This window comes from Homo sapiens, chromosome 2 (assembly GCF_000001405.40).
Source record: "Homo sapiens chromosome 2, GRCh38.p14 Primary Assembly".
In the NCBI taxonomy this organism is placed as follows: domain Eukaryota; kingdom Metazoa; phylum Chordata; class Mammalia; order Primates; family Hominidae; genus Homo; species Homo sapiens.
The window spans coordinates 67,208,442-67,230,036 of record NC_000002.12 but is presented as its reverse complement, the minus strand read 5'-3'; the positions used below and the strand labels follow the sequence as shown (position 1 = coordinate 67,230,036).

At 38.3% G+C, this 21,595-nt stretch overlaps 3 long non-coding RNA genes across 3 annotated transcripts in view; 1 reads left to right on the top strand and 2 right to left on the bottom strand.

Moving 5' to 3' along the window:
• Positions 1–16,629, bottom strand: part of LOC101927661 (uncharacterized) — a 31,167-nt gene extending 14,538 nt beyond the window's left edge. The window contains exons 1-2 of the long non-coding RNA NR_110568.1: positions 16,542–16,629; positions 542–638 (exon numbers count right to left, since the gene is read on the bottom strand). This is a non-coding gene — a long non-coding RNA (uncharacterized LOC101927661). The remainder of the gene's footprint in view (positions 1–541; positions 639–16,541) is intronic.
• The window catches only part of LINC01828 (long intergenic non-protein coding RNA 1828), a 202,799-nt gene that overhangs the window by 59,208 nt on the left and 121,996 nt on the right, over positions 1–21,595 (bottom strand). The gene's annotated exons all lie outside the window — the stretch shown is intronic.
• Positions 14,718–21,595, top strand: part of LINC01829 (long intergenic non-protein coding RNA 1829) — a 91,963-nt gene continuing 85,085 nt past the window's right edge. The window contains exon 1 of the long non-coding RNA NR_038844.1: positions 14,718–14,809. This is a non-coding gene — a long non-coding RNA (long intergenic non-protein coding RNA 1829). The remainder of the gene's footprint in view (positions 14,810–21,595) is intronic.

Below are 21,595 nucleotides of genomic sequence, written 5' to 3'. Positions count from 1 at the left end.
TACACATGTCAAAGGGAGGTCTTATCTTGACTTTATGTATTTTTATTGGAGATGGAAATTTTTGTGTGCAAATTTGCAAGACTTGTAAATGCACTTAGAGGAGTCTATGCATGAGGAATGAAGACATCTCTTAGGAAAAACTTCATCATAAGAATAAAGATCACCAAAGCACAGCTGAGCTATCAAATGGCATCAGGCTTGGGAGAGAAAAGATAGCCTCCAGTCCAGCCTGCATAGACTTGAACTTGAGTTCTAGGAAGAAGGGCTTGTCAGTAAATTATAGTAAAACAAAAATAAAGTCAGAAGGATCTCTTTTTTGTGGTAAATCTATGGAAATATAATTATGTAAGAGAGTGTAACAAGAGGGGTAGAAGATACAACAAGGTTAAAGCACATTCAAGTGTTCAATTCCAGGGCGCAAGCAGTGAACAGACTAATCTGCAGCTCAGTGAAACAAGAAACTGGGGAAGACCACACACAACATTGGTATCACAGGCAGCAGCAAAGATAGGATGCTCTTGGAGGGCATCAGTGTCATTACCTTGGCATCACTGAGGTCTTTGATGGCACCAATAGTGGAGGCTCAGCAGTGATTCCATACCACTCAAAGGCAGATGAGGAGACATTTTCAGAGACAACTAAAGCAGGAAGGGAGGATATGATAGTTAATGTTATATGTCAACTTGATTAGGCTAAGGGATTCCCAGAGGGCTGGTAGGACATTATTTTTGGGTGTGTCTGAGAAGGTGCTTCTGGAAGAGATTAGTGTTTGAATCAGTAATGAATAAGGACAATCCTCTCACACATGTGAGCAGGCATCACCCAATTCACTGGGGGCCAAATAGAGCAAAAAAGGCAGAGGAAGGGTGAATTCTGTCTCTTTTTGAGTTGGAACATCCATCTCCTACCTTTGGGCATCAAGCTACTCGTTCTGCAGCCTTCAGACTCTGCAACTTACACCAGTGGCTCCCCTGGTTCTGAGTTCTTTGGACTCAGACTGAATTATACCACTGAGTTTCCTGAGTCTCCAGCTTGCAGACAGCAGATTGTGGGGCTTCTTAGCCTCTGTAATTGTGTGAGCTAATTCCCATAATTGTCTCTATCTATGTATCTATCTATGTATCTACGTATGTATGTATGTATGTATGTATGTATGTATGTATGTATGTACCTATCTATCTATCTATCTATCTATCTATCTATCTATCTATCTATCTAATCTGTCTATCTGTCTATCTATAACCTATCTATCTATCTATCTAAGACAGCCAGGTGGGAAGGACTCGCTGGAAAAATTCCAACCTGCCTATGCACTGGGAGGAGTGTGCACCAGGGTGGAGCCACAGAAGTTCGCACCCTTTGCAGTGGGGAGGAGCTTGGCTCCTCCTCCTCCTGGGTGGTACCTGCGATTCAAGATGAGAGGCAGGAAGTCCATGGGCAGGAAACACTCTCGCTTTGCTAAGAGTCTCTGTTTCCCCCTTTTTTCCTTTTTGCACAATACTCATTTTTCCCACTCTACAAATCATCTGGGAGCCTAAATTTTCATGGCTATATGACAAGGACCCCATCTTCAGCTGAACTAAGGAAGAGGCCCACAATCTCTATCTGTAATCTAACTATATGTATATATAGGTATATATGTATAATTTTATATTATATATATTATATATCTCTTATTGGTTCTATTTCTGTTGCACAGAGAACCCTTTCTAACACAGAGGAAAATGCTAGGTGTCATATTTTAACCAAGAGTATATGTCAGACACCCACAGGACACTTCCCAAAATTGTGTATGGGGTGAAAGGGAGTAGAGACAGGGTGGGTGAGGGATGTGCCATTAATGGAAAACTAGATTTCTCTCACTTCTAGGTGGGGATATGGCTTACAAAAAACATTTTTATTCATATTTTGACTTAATTTTATCAGAATAGTCTATTAAGAAAACTCCAGGTAATGCTTGTAAGAGTATAGCAAGAACAAAGTGCACATTCTAAATGAACTAACATTTTAATAGCTCACACTAAATAATTTCATGGAATCAGCACTCTATATTTTAAAGAAACACAGAATATAATATTCAGCTATTGAACATAGATGATTTAATCCTGAATATTATAAAAAACTATATTATTTTCCTATTGTCTCTTTCTATTATTAATCAAGCAAATTAAGTCAGTCAAGTGATTCCAAATAAAATGTGACAATTTATTATACATGGCAATTTTAAAATTATAAATTAAACTCTATGTGGTAATTCTATTTCCAGAATCAAACATCTACATGTTTATGTCTTGAAGACTATCTAAATAGTTTACTTCTTAGTAGGATTTTTTAATAGTTTTTTTTTTTTTGTTATGAGTCAAAAGATACCTCAATAAAGTGATTAAACCACTTGGAAAATCATGTGCTTACACACATATTTATATAGTACTTTTTTTTCCCTTTAAATGAGATGCAACATTAACAATTCACATCTTGATAGGTAGTAACATGCATTTTGTGTCTCAAACTGGGTTTTCTTTTCCCTTTCTCTCTGGCATTTATGGTAATTTTAAAACAAGTTGGCAATAAAAATCAAGGAAACCTGCCTGAGTAAATGTGTTTATTTCATAAATGTTGCTTTTTATTTAGCATCTGAAGTGATATTTGAAGGAAGAAACTTGCTAAAATCTCAACAGGGACAGTTCATAATTTTCCAGCAGGTTGATGAGGTCTGAGATGACCTCACCTGGCCATTATATCCTTGCAATTGCTGACACTTGTATGTTGCATGGAGCATCAGGTGGCCATGAAAGACAAGGAAAATTAAAGAAAAACAGGTTTACTCCTTCTGAAAAGTTTTAATTATTTTAGAGCAAATGTGTGTTTGCCCATAGATTATGCTGTGAAATTGGCCCACAAATGAGTTAGTAAAGATGAAAATAGTATGAGAATTGAAATCCTGAGGGAAAAAGGGCTCATGTCCCCAACTAGATAACACAGACATACAAAACATGTTTGTTTTTGTGTGTGTTTGAAGTTAAGTAAACACAATGAGGCAAAACCTGTAATTTTATGTAAACTCAAAATGTACAAGAAATTGTATGCATTAAACCTGACAGTGAAGTAACAAAGTTATACTTAAAATTTATACATAAAACCCAAAAGCATTTTACATAAAATTGCTAGTCAAAGATTGGAATACTTTTCTGATGGTGGGGAATACATGGGGGGATATTTTTATGAAAATTATTTAGAAGTACCTGTGTCCAGTCTTTGGATTATAGTACTGCAAGATCCAGAAAGGCCATTTTAATTATAATGCTCAAATTCTGTCACCTTTCTGTCTCTTTTTGTTTTCTAGAGTAGAACGCCAATCTATTGACCTTCAACTTATGCTGAATGTAATCTATGTATTTTGGTTCTTGCCTGGAAAGCAACTGAGCTTGAGGATTTAAGAAACAGAGCTTAAAAGTGTTTCTTCTTTCCTGAGAATTAGAAAATAGACATTACATCTTTCAAATATCCCTTTATTAAAGAGCTAAACATACACCTTGTTTCTACCCAGTCTCTATTCTCAGACCAGGATGTTCTGATTATTTCTGCAAGTGATGCTTCAACCTTGGGGTCAATGGGGACTTTCATTGTGTTGACTGCATTGATTCTGAAAGTCTGATTAGATCAAGTAACTCCACTGAGATGTAGGCACAATGCAATCCATACTTAGACGTGTCCTCATGAAATAGGACTTTGGAAGTTTGCTAATTTTGCCAAATTGCATTTAATTCTGAATATTTTAGATATGTTGACAAAATTTAAGATTGGCAAACTTACAGCTAAAATTCCTAGGAATAATGGAAGATGTCAAAACTGTTGGTGGGCGGAAGTATTTTTCAGACAATGACCCTTGATACGTCTGTGAGTTTGTGTGTCTCACTAAACACTCACATGAATGTCAGTGCCCATGCATTCACCCATAAAGAGAAGGCTTTTTTAGTGATGGGACCATATTTGTACGTGGCACAGCTTGTAACCTTTCTTGGGCCCTATTTTCAGGGTTCCAGACCTGCTGACTGCCTTCATCAGCTTAACTAGTTCCAATACTTCATAGCTGAAATTCACAGACGCTCTTTCTTCAAGTAAATTGACAGTCTGAAAGTCAAGTAACAGTATCTTCAGAAAGCTCTATTGTGAAGCTGAATTTTGTAATTGACACCAATAACATCAGAGTATTAAATCACTCATATTTTTTATAGTGGATAAGCTAGTCTGCTTGTAAATATGTTCAAGGATAGCGTGTAGGTGGCAGAAGAGTTATGCTACAACTTTAACAGCTAATAAATCTTTATTTAAGCAGGGGACTTCTAAAATTTAATTAGGCATATGAAACCAGAGATTATTCTGAGGATAAAAATATGCCAGTTCTCACAAGAAAAGACATCTGTCTGGTGGAAAAACTTCAAGTTAAAATTTACTCTTCTGTTACTTTGTCAATAGAAAGGCTTTCTGGTAGAAGAGCAAATATCTAACTTTAAAAAAAAAAAAAAAAAGACACAGACTGCCAGGAGACCTTGGCACACCCTAGAGGGGAGGAAAAGTGAACTCTGCAAGTGTTATTTAGCTAATTCAGGTCAATGCCTCTTCTTTCTTTTCCTCTCTTCCTCCTTCCTGGGTCATGGAGAGTTAGTCAAGGATCGATGGCAGATTCAGCCGTATACAAGAAAATGATGGCAGTCAGTCATCTTGTAATTGGATAATTCCAATGCATTCCTCACCATTCTCAATCTAAAAACGTCTCCTTCTCTGTTCACAATACCAAGTATGGCTACAGTAAAGGAGTAATCCTGCTCCCAAAATATACGACTTGTATATCTAAATTGCAATGATGTCTTGAGCCCTCTCTAGGTTGCAGATGCCTCATACCTAAAATCCCTGCTAGTTAAAATGCAGACTACAGGGACTGGTTGCATTCTAATTCCAAATGCTCTAACTTGAGTTACTGTCTTCCCTTGATTCCCTTCTTGGGAGAAGGGTGGTGGTACATCATACAATTGTTATTACCTGCGAAAAAAGGGCAACATGCTTTGAATATCGCTTGTATTCTCTTAGCAAATTTTCTAGTTTTACATAGAAGTATAGAATTTGGTAGGCACTGTGAAGGAAGATATTTAAGGAATAGTCTCTACTCTTATGGAATTTGATGTAGTTCAGAAGATAAGACATACTTGAAGCATATAGTAACATTTCAATTGTATAAGGTATAGCTCAAGGCAAGAAATATGTATGCACTATAGGACTAGGACAAATCACTCCAGGATTTTTTCCATGGGCCAGCCCAGTCCTTGAGCCAATAAAGCTGTTCTTGATGTTGTTTGTTTGCTTTTTATTTCATAGGAGTCCTTTTTCTCATAACAAGATATTTTAGCAAAATCAGCTTTAGGAATGCAACTTCTGTTTTTAACTTTTGCTGCTAAAAGATGTGCAAATGAAGCAGAATGAACATCATGAAAACAAAACTAGTTAATGATGGGATGTTTTAATTTTTTTTTTTTTTTTTTTGCTACCATTAGATACGTGCCAAAGATGTTCTGTTAGTTTGCATGGTGTTTCCTCCCAATCACTTATTTTATACTAAGAAGCCAACATTGATGTTTCACTGCAAATGTCAACAAGCATCATAAATAATGAATTGAGAATTGTGCTCATATTGCCCAATTAAATCATCCTTTCTTCTGATCACATGCCATTCATGCCTTTTGTGCACTTTTCTTTATGTTATTTTAAAAGTTATTATGGTATTTTTTTAAAAAATAAGTAATGCAGATGTTCTCTTTTGTGAAAGACTTTAGATCTAGCTTTAAAAGACTACATAATCCTATTAGTGAAAATAGATGAAACTGTTATATGAGAAGACATGCAATTATTTATCTTTTCCAAAATTCTGGAAGTGGGTAATCCTGCACTAGGTGACCTCTGCAATGACTCTTGGAACTGTGTCTGAAAGGCAGTGCTGAGTGGATTGGGAATCAGATACCTGGTTTGGTCCTGCTGCCATGAACTGGGTGGGTAGACTTGAGTAAGTTTTTGTCTGATATTGGAGGTTTGGACCAGATGACCTTAAGCTTCGATTCAGCTCTAAAATCCTATGAGTTAGGCCAACTGAATCAAAAGACTAGAATGCTTAATCCAAACTTGAGTCTTGTTTCCATTAATGTGAGAAACTGAACATTTTGTTGGAATACAAGTGGTTTTGATTGTCCTGGAACTTACATTAAACTGGAGTCTGCTGTCTCCAAGACCTAGCAATAGGCTTTTATCCCACTGGGAAAAAAATGACAGAGATTTACTGAGAATGTTTAGGGGGTTTCTGAATCATTGCATGAAGCAGAACAATGCTTTTATATAGAAAGTTTTTTTTAAGTGTACTCCTTCACAAGAGGGGGAGAGTTTCATGGTTTTGCTGTCAGTTAGGGCACTTTAGGGGTTTGTGAAGTGGTGTTTACATCCAATATCAGTCTTTTCTTTTTTTAAGCAGAGTCTCACTTCGTTGCCCAGGCTGGAGTGCAGTTGCATGATCTTGGCTCACTGAAACCTCTGCCTCCTGGGTTCAAGCGATTCTCCTGCCTCAGCCTCTCAAGTAGCTGGGATTACAGGCACCTGCCACCATCCCCGGCAAATTTTTGTATTTTTAGTAGAGACGGGGTTTTGCCAAGTTGGCCAGGCTGGTCTCGAACTCCTGACCTCAGGTGATCCACTCACCTCGGCCTCCCTAAGTGCTGGAATTACAGGAGTGAGTCACTGTGCCTGGCCCATTATCAGTTTATTTTGATCCATAGCTTCCTCTCTGTGAAATGGGTACAATAACTATTTCAAAAGGTTGTGCTGAAGATTGCAAAGACAGTGAAAATACTGAATTGTTTATCAGTTATATACCGACAAATACACATCATGCCAAATCTTAGTGGCCTAACACAACTGTACCATGTTTTTCTCATGATCATGTGGGTCAGAATCTGGGGCAGGGCTCAGAGGGTCTGCTCCTCTCTGCTTTATGTGGTGTTGGCCAGAGGTGGAGTGGGTCAGTGCTTGTCATGGGACCTCCCTTTCTATGTGGTTTCATATCCTCCAGGGTCTCCCTCTCCCCATGTGGCCTCTCTGTCCAGTTGGATGGGCTGAACTTCTTAGCATGGCAACAGGGCTCCAAGAGCAAAAGCAGGCTTGGGTATGGAGTCCTAGAAAGTAATTTCTGCTACATTCTGTTAGTCAGAGCAAGTCACCAGGCTAGCCCAGTTTCAAGTGATGGAAAACAGACTTCACCTCTAAAGGAGAGGAACAGCAAATTCACTTTGTAACTGGCATGCACCGAGGAAAACTTGATTCATTGGGGGCTCTTTTTAACCATCAGTCATGGCTTGAATAAAGCCTAGCACACAGTAGGCACTTGATCAATGCATAAAAATCTCATATGTTGCAACTTTCACCAGCATTCAATCTTATTAGAGAGGTAGCGTGTGTTGACTCTGAGTTAAGGAAAGTGAGAAGGAAGGTTGTGTTACTGGCTCAAATTCATGTAGTCAAAGATTGATAAGGATTTGATTAGGACTTGAACAGAGTTTTTTCAGACTGTAAGTTCTTTGTTCTTTCTACTACAATTTGTTGTGGATATATTGCAAAGAAAATGAAATATGGAAAGTGATCAGTAAATACCATGGTCAAGGAGGCTTACGTGGCTGGCTTTGTTATTTTAGAAAACTGTACTTTGTTTATAAGCCAAATGTTGGTTGAAAATAGTGAATGCTATTTTCTTGACTTTTTTAAAAAAATATTTTCTTCAAAATTTAATTACATCTGGCACAACTTTATAACCAAGCTCTAGATATATTTATTAATAAATGCTTTCTTGGAAATATATCCAAACATTCATATAATTTCAGCTTCCAGTAAGAAGTCAACATAGAAAAGAGGTAAAACTATTGGGATTGATCTGAAATCTAGGCCTATCATGGTCTCCTGAACTCAGTCTCTGTTCATTCTTTTCCCCTTTTAAGTTCAGTATGAAAACAATGACTATGTTTAACAAGAATGCAAAATGAAGAACATAAAAAAATCAATAGTGTTAAAAATATAGAGTACTCATTGTACAAGCCATTATATCATATTTATATAATACTTAACATCAATATATGAAACTCTTTATGTAAAAGTGTCAGGCAAAGATTTTTATTCTTTGTGTTATAGTTGTTATTATTGTTGTTATTTTGATTGAGTCTCTTGTTGAACTCTGAATTCTATTTGAACCTGAAACAGTAATCAAAACTGTAGGCTATTTGATAATCCCCATGAATATAACTAAAAAGTTTTCATGAAAGCCCTATAGACAGAATCCATTGAATTTAGAATAGTTCTCATACCAGTAGAAAGAAGCAGATGTCCCAAACCAAACACACTTGGTTTAATATACTTTTACGTTAGCTTTAATGGACAGATGTTTTGACTATGACATGGCAAGACAAGGATTTGAAATGGTCGATTGAAAAGATTTTGTTCATAAAAGTAATTGCTCTTACATTACAAAGTGAAGGATTTACATGTGGAAAATGTCAGCCTGTTGCAGCATCTCATGATGGATCGTGTTACCACAAGCCATAGAGTTCACTAGAAATAAGCAACTTACTTCTGAGGGGCCCATTTAATAGGCATCACACACAGAATGGCAGGGAATGGGAGCCTCAAATCTAGAGTCATTCTGGTTATGTAGCTGATCGCTGATTACACACTTTCAGGATTATCTGTGACTTTTTTTCCCATCAGAATTTGACTTCTGTCTATATTATTTTATGAGCAAATAGCAATTTCTACATACCAGACACTATCAGAAGAGCTTTATGAATGTGAATAATCCATTTTATCCTCATAGGAACTTCTAAGAGCAGGTTAGGAAAATGATGCACAGAGAAGTTACATAACTTGCTTAAGGTCACACTTCTTGGAAATGGCAAAGACAGAATATCCCAGTCTAGCTCCAGAATCTGTGCTCTGAACTATTTAGACTCTGCTCTTTCTTTTATTGTTCAACAAGTGGTAGAAGTTATATCTAATTATTCGTGTGGTTCAGGAATTTCTTAAATGAGACTGATTTAGGTAAGTGAATCTGTTGTCCCAGGACCTCAAATGCTACCTCCCAACCTATCTAGAAGTCAGCTCACTTGCAACCTTATTCCCAAAATTAGAATTCAAAAAGTTCTTCCAGCCCATGAAATAGACACAAAGCCTTTACATGAATTCCATGCACTTTACCTGTTGGGCTCTAACTCAGACCCTACCTAATGCTTATTTTGACATATAACAGTTGAGGGGGAGAGAGACATAAAATTTGAAAAAGATATAAACATTTATACTACTATATAGCACAGTAAAAACATTATGACTGAATTATTAGGAAAAAGCTAATGTTCACCATGCTTTATTTAGAAGACAGGGAAATAGACAATGTATGTCAAAAGGTCTTTCCTCAGAAATATTTAAATTTTTAGACTGTGATTGCTCTGTAGGCTAAGCTTCTATAATGAAAGATAATATTTGTGGAATATCCTATTCTCAACAGGGCCAGATAACGAATTAAAAGAGGTATTGTTGTGGACAGAATGCTGGGTGAATTGGAGACATTCTCCCACTAACTTGCTGATAAATGATCTGAACAGGTCAGTCATTCTCTCTGTGTCTTAGACTGCTCACAGGCCTTACTCAAAGAGTTATTGTAAGGATTAAATAAAATAATGTATGTGAAAGTGTCCAATATGTAGTGTATTCTCGATAAATATTTGTTAAAAAAAAAAAGTAGCATTGCATGCAAATGTCAAAGATAAATTATTTTTGAATTATGACTTGGAAAATATTTGTGTAATTATACACACAGAGGAATGTGGCTAAAGGAACAGAAGTGATTGCCTCAGTATTCTTCAATAATTATGTTACCTTACTTTAGATTTCCCCCACCTTTTTTTTCTTCTTCTTCTTTTTTCTTTTGTCTTTTCACCTACTTTGAAGAATGTAACTATCAAAAAAACGGAATCCTGGGTAGAAATAAACCTTCTCTTTGATAAAACCCAGATGCACAGCACGAGATGCATTTCCTGTAGAGATTCATACAGGGACCAAATGGTCTGGGAATTTTTCGCTTATAATTCCACCATGTGTCCGTTTTGGCTCCACTTAGCATGTAGAGATGGAGAGTGAACCTTTGTTCATGTGTGTACTTGTGATAAGAGAATGACTGAGAAAGGATTAAGCAAGTCAGCAGCCTCATCCAAGCACAACCCCGGGCCTTAAGCAGTGACAATCAATGGAAACAGCTAACTGTGTTCTGTTGTCCAGAATAATTTTTAACATGGCAAGGGTGGAGGCAGGGGTTAGGGAGGATGAATCAAAATGATCTGGGGATTTTTAAAAATAAAAATGTATGTTTTTCTTCCTCAACCAAAATTTTAGATACTTTCTCAGGGGTGGAGGCAGGGACATGAATATTTTCTAACACCTTTTCAGCAGATTCTGATACCCATTTTTTTCCCACCCACCATGAGAACTACCAGGCTGGTATATTAATTCCACCTGTCTATGATTTGACCTCACCCCATAGCTAGCATAGTATAGCCTCAGGCCACAGTAAGCTATAGTTGGGCACTGGCTGCCTCCGTTAGGCAGGGCTGCCACCCTTGACGTCCCCATCATGGGTCAGCATATGTTTTTACACTAGGTCTACTGCCCTCCTGAATGTAATTAAATCTGTTGTTGAGTTTCCAACCTGAGCTAGAAGGGATCCTGTCCTAGTGCTACTCTTTAGTTGTTTCCATCCTGGCCCTTACCCAGCCATGGCTGTCTCTACAGGGTGAGGAGTTCTTGGGGACAAGTGGACTTGCCTGTCAAGCAGCCACCATCCCTTTTGGCCCAGTGCGTCCCAAACTTTAATGTGCTTATATGAAACACCTGAGGATCCTGCCAAAGTGTAGATTCTAATTCAGTGGGTAGGTCCAGCGTGGGTCTGAGAGTCTGAAGTTTTAACAGACCCCTGGTGCTGTGGACTACACTTTAAGCGTCAAAGCATTATATCCTGCTCCAGGTACCCAGGCTCCTGGAAGTCCCTGAGCAGAGGATGCCAAGCTTACATGGTTCTCCCTGGGTCTCTCCTGAAGACAGACTGTGATGCCAGTGTGCACTCTTCTAGACTTGAGTGGTGGCCAAGGGGGTACTTGGAGTGGAGGCCTTGTGGGCACAGGTTAGATGAGTGAGGTGTTTGAGTTACAGAATACATCCAGAGGGCAGAAGAGAAATGGGGATCATGGGATTGACTTGGTTTGGGATCAGAGGCCACACACAAACCAACTCACTCCACGTTACCATATTTTAACACAGCATTCGAAGTAGTCCAAGAATTTTAAGTTAAAAATTGTCCTTTTCAGTTGTTAATTTACATAGGAGGATAGAATTTTACTTTAACCATTTTTTAGCTTGACTATATATATTTTTAAACATAAAAACATAAAATATGTGGGCCTTCATTTCTTGCTGCAGGCCCCAAAATTGTTAAAAGTGCTACTGTTGTAGGCACTTGATTATGTAACCACCCTTTACCTCTCATCTAGGCCATTTTGAGTATAAACATCACATGACAGAAGTTCAGACTTTTTACTTGGATAGTTCTTTTGCATCTGCATGTGCTTCTTTCCTATGTTATTTGAATTCACTTGCCTCTCGTGGACCTTTTAATATGCAGCTCAGGATTTTTTGAGACCATGAATATGTATACTGGACTATGTAATACTGAATTCTTTGGGATATGGAGCAGTCACGGTTTCTTCTGGTTAAGAATGTTTGCAAATGTGACTCCACAGTTGAATAACAATGAAACCCACCCAGTTAAAAAGGCTGGCTTGCAATGTTGTTTGGCTTGTTTTTGTTGTTGTTTTTCTTAACCCATTTTCCTATTCTATTAGCATAGCATAGTTTTACAAGTCCCTGGTCAAAAGTCAAATCTTAGCTGTACCACTGATAAGCTATTGAATTCTAACTTTTCCAGGCCTCAATACATTTTTGCCTCTAAAGTAGAGATAATAATGTCATCTCATAGGGTGATAAAGAGGATGAAAGGATATAATAAACATAAAAATATTTGGAATGGTGTCTGATACATAATAATCACTCAAATAATGTTTTCTATTATTCACATTTCATCTTGTTATTGAAGCTGCCTAAATGTTCTGTCATCCCATTGATTTTTCTCTTCTTCAGAGTCCTTCATCTTCCATCATCACTTTGCTATTTAACTTTTGCTTGTTGTCTTAGTCTGTGTCTGCTGTTATAACAGAACACCACAGACTGGGTAATTTATGAAGAAAAGAAACTTATTTGGCTCATGGTTCTGGAGGCTGGGAAGTCCAAGAACATGACACCAGCTTCTGGGAAGGGTCATCCTAAGGCAGATGGCATCATATTGTGAGTGTATGTGAGACAGAGAGGGAAGTTGGCTGAACTCATCTTTTTTTTTTTTTTTTAAATCAGAAATCCACTCCTGCAATAACTAACCCAGACCTGTGATAGCAGCATTAACCCCTTCATGAAGGCAGTGCCATCATGGCCTAATCACTTCTTAAAGGCCCACCTCTTCATACTATTACAATGGCAATTAAATCTCAAAATGAGTTTTGGAGGGGGCATTCAAACCATAGCATTTATATTCCATTTTTCTTTATTAGTTTAATGTGTATGGATTTAAGAAAACTTTTCAAGAAAAACGGAAAAAGGAAATGGCTCAAAGAAAAAAGGGGTTGGAGTCACCAGATAGCAAGAGTTAGAGAAGAGAAATCACTCAATTTGCTGAGCAGGCATAGAGATTAAAGTACTGAGTATCATCTGGAAGAACTTGGTGGGAAGGCTGGCATGCTTCTCCCATTGAGGGAGGGGGCAGGGTTACTTGAATTCAGTTAAGAGCTTCCTAGGCTTATCAGGGATAGGCTTATCTCTTTGTTCCTCCCTCCCCCCACCCTCATCCTGCCATTTCACCCAACCTTGGTAAACAATCTGAACATGACTATTATAAGGCTACACCCAGACAACAGTAATTGACAAAGGGATCATTAAGGAAAAAATAGGATTAGAGTGAAGGCTTTTGAAAAAGCATTAATTTGTATCCTGCATTCTCACTCACTGACAACTCTGTTAACTAATAAGAAAGGAAAATCTCAAGTCAGTTCCTTCCTACACTGTCACCCTTGTCTTTTCTCTCATTTGCTTAAGGTATCAAGTAGAGTCAACTTCAGCTGGAAATAGTGTAGGGCTTATTCTAGGCCACAACATGGGAGCAAAACAACCAGAGATTTAGCCAAATCCTAATTTATTTACCCCATTCTGACAGAGAGAAATGTTTGTTTATTTCTGAGGCTGTGCTATGATGTGCAGTTCAAGTGCTCTGACACTTTAACGCACCATGCAAGGTTAGCAGCCTGTTCACCCTTTATTAATTTGTTGGTGAATATATTTGGATTTTCACTTCATGCCAATAAATGCAAGAAGGGATGCAGTTTTGACATTGTTTCTTTACCCTTACACTCCATGTAAACCAAAAGTTGTCTATCTGGCAGCTTAGTGGCTATATGTAAAGCCCCTGTTTACTTAATCTGAAGGTCCGTTTCATTTCTGCTTGGTTTGCAAAATAAATGAAATGAACGAGTGTGTCAGAATTAGAATTGTGAGAGTCTGAAAAAGACATTTGGGTCACTGAGTGACTAAAAGCACTCTCTGTTTACATGTTTCTTCAGTTTCTGTCGCTGCAGCTGTGTCACAGCTTATAACAACTAATCCCTTTTTATTTACATTTTACTTTATTTTGTATTAAAGGCACTATTAAGCCACGTCTTCCAAATGTGTCTGAGGTTTCATAACTATCTTAATAGTGTATACACATTACAGTTATGGCAGAGAACTTCCTCCAAGTCTGGGTTTTGTTAAGAGTGACTTTAAGAATAATAGTTTATAGGACAATTAAAACGTGTTAATCTATATTTGAAAACTTGATCTGGTTAAAAATCGGTTCCCCGTCCGCTTATATTTGCCAGTTTTCTACATCATGTAGCTGGGGTTTTCCTGAGAGGTGGAAAGAGTGGGTTGTGGGAAGAGATGGCTGGAGAAAGCCTGGGAGCTAAGCTGATTTTAGGCCTTTGGGCTGAGGTCCTGTTAACATAACCTATGTTCTGCTTCAGGGGAAAATGACGCACGGAAGGTTGGAAATGGGGTTTGAGCGAGCACACTTTTCATGCTCAACAAAGCCTAACATCATTTTACTATACGATTTGAGTTATGTGCATGCTTTTAATAAACTGATCCTCACAAAAAATAAATAGATTTGTTCTGCTTAAACTGGCATACAAAGGGCTCAGAGGAAAAAAACTCTTTAACAAACACCTCTTGGGGATTGGAAGGTAACTTCACACTCCAGCTTCACGTTGGGAACGTGTGATAACAATTTGACAGGAAGTAAGTGGATTCTGTCCCAAGCCTTGGGAATAGACTTGACCCTGAGCATAATGTGTGAGTCTGAGGCCAAGAGCTTCCCGCCCAGCAGGGGGTAGCCAAGCGCCGATGACTGGGCAGGAATTCAACCCCATAGGTTCCCATCTCTTCCCACCGCCCGTCAGCAACACAGCTCTCCCTTTCTAGAAACAGGGTTTCCCCTCCAGGCTTGGATTCTTAAATCTAAAAAGAGCCTCTCACCTGAGGCCTTCACCTGAGAGCTGGAGCCTGTGCGATGGATTATCTGGACAGGGACCCCAATGAACAGGTGGAAAAGTACATTTATCTGCCTAAGGCTTGGAATGAAAATTGGGGGTGGGGTGGGTAGAGGCAGATTTTACTCTTCTTCAGATTCTTTTCTCTGTCTCCCAGTGGGCACAGGCTGAGCCTTGCGGGGATAGAAGAGAGATAGAGAGGTTAGGCCCTGGTTCTCTGTGTAGGGTGGTATGCATGTGTGTGTGGAGGGATATGGGTGTGAGTGTGCTGTGTATATGTGTGGAAAGCGTGTGTGTAGGTGTGTTAGAAGCGTGTGTGGGTGAATATGTGTGTGGGGTGGTGGGGAGTGTGTGTGTGGGGGTGAATATGTGTGTGTGGGGTGGTGGGGAGTGTGTGTATGGGTGTGTGTGGGGGAATGTGGGTGTGTGGATGTGTGTGTGGGTAGGGAGTGTGTGTGTATGGGGTTGTGTATATGTGGGGGAAATGTGTGTATGGGTGTGTGGGTATGTATGTGTTTACGGTGAATATGTGTGTGAGGAGAGTAAGTGCATGTATGAGTATGTGTGTCTGTATGTGGGTATATGTGTGGGGTATGTGTGTGTGGGGTTTGTGTTTTGGGGGGGTGTATGTGGGTGTGTATATGTGGGTATGTATGTGGGGTGTGTGGGTGTGTATGTGTCGGGGGGAAGTATGTGGGTACGTGTGGGGGGATGTATGTGCGTATGTGTGTGGGGTGTGTGGATGTGGGTGTGTGTGTCTGTGGGTGTGTGTATATGTGGGTATGTGTGTGGGGTGTGTGTGGGAAGTGTGTGTATGTATGTAAGGTGTATGTGGGTGTGGGTGTATTTGGATGTGTATGTGTGTGGGGTTTTGGATGTGTATGGGTGTGGGGGGAGTATGTGCATGTGGAGGGGTGTGTGTGTGGTGTGCATATATGTGTTGGGGAAGTATGTATATGTATGTGTTTATGTGGGTATGTATGTGTGGGGAGTTATACGTGTGTGTGGAGGGGTGTATGTGGGTGTGTATATGTGTGTATGGGAGAAGTATATGTGGGTGTGTATGTAAGTCGGGTATGTGTGGGGAGTGTGTGTATGTATGTGGGGGTATATGTGTGTGTGGTGTGTATGTATGTTGGTGGGTGTGTATGTGTATGGAGTGTATATGTGGGTGTGTATGTGTGTGGGGTATGTGTATGTGTGTGGGGAAAGTGTGGATGTGACTGTGGGTGTGTATGTGTGTGTAGGGGGAGTGTGTGTATGATGTGTGTGTGGCTGTGTGTGTGTATGGGGGAAGTATGTGTTTATGTGGGTGTGTATGTGAGTGGAGTGTGTAGGGAGTGTGTGTATGTATGTGGGGTGTGTGTATGTGGGTGTGTATGTGTGTATCTGTGGGTGTTTATGTTTGTGGGGTGTGTGTATATGTGGGTATGTGTGTGTGTGTGTGTCTGTGGGTGTTTATGTGTGTGGGGTGTGTATGTGTGGGGGTGTATGTGGGGGGACCTGTGGGTGTGTGGGTGGTGTCAGGGGAGCCTGGATGGAGCCCCAGGACAGCCTGCTGAGGGTGGAAGCCTGGATGGCAGATGCTCAGGTCTGACTGCTGGGCTGCAGGGAAGAAAGAAATGCCAAGCTGAACTCGCAGGTAGGGAGGAGGAGAGGTGGGACAGTGACAGGTCACTAAAGAAAAAGCATTCTGAGAAAAGCCTGTGCTCCTTACGGTATGCTGCAGGGGCTGAGCCTGCGTCCCTGCTGACACCCTCTGGGAACCCCCATCGCAAGCCTCACCTTGTTGCTTCTCACTGGGGCCGTTTTCGGTTGGCGCTGCTTCTCTTTGTTCTGTTGTCCCCCAGTGCAGTGAACCCTTACATTATGGGTTTCTCTTGTAGTTCTAACCTCTAATACTCAACCATTACATCTTATCTCGTCTTCTAAATTACTCTAAAATCCAATTATAAAACCCTCTCTCCTTCAAGAGCACACAACTTGCCACATTACTGAAATGCTGGGCTGCTCTTTTGTTTTTCTAAATTAATAATAACTATACCATTTTCCGTCTGCTCTTACCATGGGACTCTTTTATATCACCACATAAAATGCATATTATGATTCTTTTTGCTTCTTTTCTGGGCTGCAAAAAAGCGAAGGATGATTTTCCAAATATTCATAAAAGATCTGTCAGTTGGTTTTTAGTGTAAAAACATTTGAAACTACAATCCTTAAAGAAGAAAGCATCTTAATATTTATCAGTTAAAATTTCACTATTGCTTTCTTTTGTATGGGCAAAATAGAAGTCTATCATTTTTAAGGTTTTAAGAGATTTGAATGAATTTTATGTGTTAGTTAAAATTTTTATGGATTGAAAACGCTTAGTTTCACTAAGATTTCAAAAGCACAAACGATTTTTAAAATCTAGGTCCCCTCGTGAGTTTCTTGAATTTACAGGAGGGCAGTGACTATTCTTAAATATAGATTCAACTTCTATAAGTTATCAAAATATTTCAGGAAGAGAGAACATGCCCAGAACATATAAGAAAAAGCTTTAACAGTATCAGGAATATCCTCAAACACTTTTTCTGACAAAAGGTTAGTCGTGGTTTTCAATGCTAGAAAATTGCTCTTAGGAAAATATGGTTAAGTTCAAATTTGATATTAGAAAAAGAAATTTGACTTGTTTTAGTATTTTATAATCACAGGCATGTAATTGAATGGTGATTGCTTTTCTTGCAAATTCTTACTTTGGTCATGTGGAAAAAGTATATTTGATATACCTAAGGCATCTGATTATGCAGTAACAAAATATGCTTGCTCTGTGATTAGTAAAAATATGTGTATGGCTAATCAGCCACTCTGCTTTCAACTTCACGAGCTTCAGCAGTGTTCAGTGGAGCTCTTCATTGTACCATCTGTATTTATGAATGATTCTTTCTCATGCTCAGATTTTAGCTGCTTAGGTTAAATATATTATAAAATGTAGGAAAGATTGGAAAAGTCCTAAATTACAAATTAAATTTCATTGAAACATTTAAATAATAACAACCTAGCTAAGTATTTTGTGTAGTTTTTGTGCCCTGAAGTTAAATCTCTATCCCCTTAAATATTAAATACAGGAGAGGCCAGTTGTTTCTTTAATAAATTAGTTATATTTAAGGGTTTTCAGAGGCCAAAGTGAAGGCCAAGGGAGAAGACAGCGTGCAACTGAAGCAGCACTACTTGCAATTTATAGGCTAAATGGATGAACCAGAAGGACATGCTAATCACCAAATAACATCATCAAATACAAAATATAGGAACATGATTATCATGAGCAACAACTCAGGGAAAAATGGACATCAGGAACAAGAAAATTATAAATGATATATAAAAAACAAAAATTATACTTTTTCATTCTTACAATATATATTACATATACAGTATCAAAACATATGCAAATACACACTATATACTGTATGTTCTTTTGAGTTGTTTTGTACAAATAGACTCTATAATCTTAATTTAATCATAGTGGACACATCCATATTATCACTTAACATTTCAACTATGCATCCCAGCATAGCTACATCTCCCTCCCTCCCTTTCTTCCTTCCCTTTCCTTCCTTCCTTTTTAAAAAATTTTCTGTGAAAACAAGAAAACTTAAAGTTATTTTCCCTTGCACTTCTAAATTTTTTAAAAATTTAATTTTTTTTGTTGTTGTTGTTTTTGAGACAGAGTCTCCCATTGTCACCTAGGCTGGAGTGCAGTGGCAAGATCTTGGCTCACTGCAGCCTCCGTCGCTGGGGTTCAACCGATTCTTGTGCCTCAACTTCCCAAGTAGCTGGGTTTATAGGCATGTGCCACCATGCCTGGCTAATTTTTGTATTTTTAGTAGAGCCAGGGTTTTGCCATGTTATCCAGTCGGTCTTGAACTCCTGGCCTCAAATGATTCCCCACCCTCAGCTTCCCAAAGTGCTAGGATTACTGATGTGAGCCACAGTTCCCAGCTGTACCTATAACTTTTAAATATTATCTTTTAGTTGCAGTGCAGGCTAAACATCACTATTAGTTTTGTTGGATTGAATCTAGCATAATTCACATATTAGTTTAAAATGTAGATGTTTTAAGAATTGACATTATCTACTTTGTTTATGTACTCAAGCATTCTACTAATATATTCTTTGAGGCTCTTCAATCTTTTATTTCCAATTTTTAGTAAATTTCTAGCTAATGAGCCAAACTTTTACCATTTGAACAAAACAGATTCAATTAACATAATTCCAATATTATGGGCAGCCCTTGTAGAATTGATTTCCTTTTTTAAGCCAAGAGTGCATCTCCTGTCATGTGTGAGTGTTGCGCAGCAAACTTAAAAAGAAACGTTTGAATTTATGTCACATTCTTTTTCATACTTTATGGGGCTTCATTTTTTTAAATTTAAATTAAGATTTTGGGGGTTTGTTGGCAGGTTAATGTATGGACTATGTGATCTCTTAAGCTCTTTAAAATAATCTATTAAGCAAATAAAAAATGACTATGTGATACATGACATTTGGAAAATAGTCTCTGGAAGATAAACCATAGTGCCCTAATTTATAAGCTACTCCTAGCAGGTCTTTGAGGCTTTGTGTCAATTTGGACACAGACCAGATCTTGGACCACAAGAGCACCATTTGGGGTGACGTATCGGTAAATTACTTTTCAGTACCCTAGAGGACCAGAAGAGTTAATGCAGCTTCCAGGAAAACAGAACACTGGGCAGTGTAACTTAGGTGGTGGGATGGCTGGATCGGATTTGTCATAAGCATGTCTCAATTGTGACTTTAGAGCTCAAGCTGTGACAGTGCATCAGGGCTTTTCCTCTCTTCTCTTCCACCCGCTATGTTTCTAGGGGACTGAGCATCAGTGCCCCTCCCTGCAGAGTTGCAGCACTGGGAGATTATTATGGTCTTAAAAGTGAAAGCCTATAATTTAAGGTCGTAACACCATCTTTAAAATGGAGATTGAAATACAGTAATATAAAATACATAAGGCGTCAACATGTAGCAAACGTCTCTTCCCATTGGATTTTTCCATTTACAGGAGGGTAGTAATACCATGTATATTTTCTCGAAATATATAGTGTGTTTTCCATATTGATTGTGCAGCTTTTTCATTTAAAGTGGAGCCAGTTCCCTGATAGACCCAAATTCCTTTCAATACCTACTAAATAAAATGTTCTGGCCCTAAAAACAGGATAAAATAAAATAAAATTTTAAAGCCTAGAAAAGAAGGCTCCAACTTTCTAAGATATCAAATATTTACTTTCTAAGATATCAAATATTTCTAGAAAATAACATCTTGATGAGTTGGTTATAAATGAACATGTGGATTGTGTTTTCCTTAATATATCAATAGGTTATCATGGCAGAAATAAGTACTAAGAGCAGAAAGGATCCCCAGTGCTAGGTCCTTCACTTTGAAAGCAAAGGAGCTCAAGACATTCAGCAAATTCAAAACATCCCCTTACCAACCTTTTAAGATTATGTTTGTATATTTATTTCTTATGACATTTCAAAGCTTTTTCATAATTCTAGGTATTGATTTGAAAATGCCAGTTTTCAGTACTAAATAATGGTGGAATAAAATTTTCTCTGAGTCAATTTTTCAACCACAAGAGGACAAACGCTGTAAGGAAAATGATTCTACTTTCACCAGGAAGGAAACGTCATGGGCCTCTGAATTGGGGGGAAAAAAAAAAATCCTTGCAGCAGTGCCTATTGGAAATTATCAGGAATAAATATCTTTTTTTTTTCTTGAAATAAAGTTCAAGGTAACACTTAAATGAATAATTATTTACCATCTTGTTAAATGCAGGCGTGTATGGCGGGCACCATCTATTAGTATAAAAGCTTTTTCTGCTTAGAATGGCTCATTAGCTTTTTTGTAGGCTGTACTGGTTTTAACATTCAAATTCAAAATCTCCTCTGATTTTGCTGTTCCATTTCTGGCAGCCGGCCAGTGGCAGATATGCATAATATTTCACTGTTAGACCTTGCAAACATTATATCCTGCTGTGCTAAAGAAAACATTGTGTTTCTTACCACATGAAAATAATCCATCACTTTTCAATCAGCACACAAAAAAAGCTCTACCTGTTTTTTCCATCAGACTCAAGAAAAATTAATGGCCCCAATGTGAAAGGTGGACCCTCCATACATGATCCATTAAAGTACAAACTAATCAAAATATATCTAGCATCTGATTTGCTAAGCAAGATGGAACAAAAGAGGTGTGATGAAAAAAAATAGATCCTTCTAAGACCCATACAACCTTGTTCTATCAGTATTAACCTTATTTATTTTAAATGTGGGAGGACATAAATAAAAAACCATGAAATGAATCTGTTGAATTCAATCAATTCAAATAGACACTGTATTTATCTGGAAGAGATGGCTAAAGATACTTCGTGTGGACTGGAAGAAATTTTTATAATAAAAATGTTTTTTAAAAAGTAAAGAAAGATTATAAATCCCCTAGTGAGCCACTAGGCAACCTAATATATTAAAGTAAAATTTTCTTTGGGAGTAAAAAAATCAGTATTTTGTCAACTTGTTCATGCCTTTAAAAATAATTTCATGCCTTTTGCAATGCTGATGTTGTAGCTAGTTTTGAGTGAGACATGAGGACTTTCCTTTCCAGAGCCCTACAACTTTTGTAACAATATTCTAATCCGAGAGATAGCAGCCATATCAAAGGAGTGCCAATTAAAAAACAATCCATTTTATGACTTTTAAACACATTTGTTGGAGTTGCTTGGCCTTCTTTGCTACTGCCTGGTTCTGGGAAATTGGTTTCAATTTTTCTCTCCCTTTCTCTCTCATTTTCT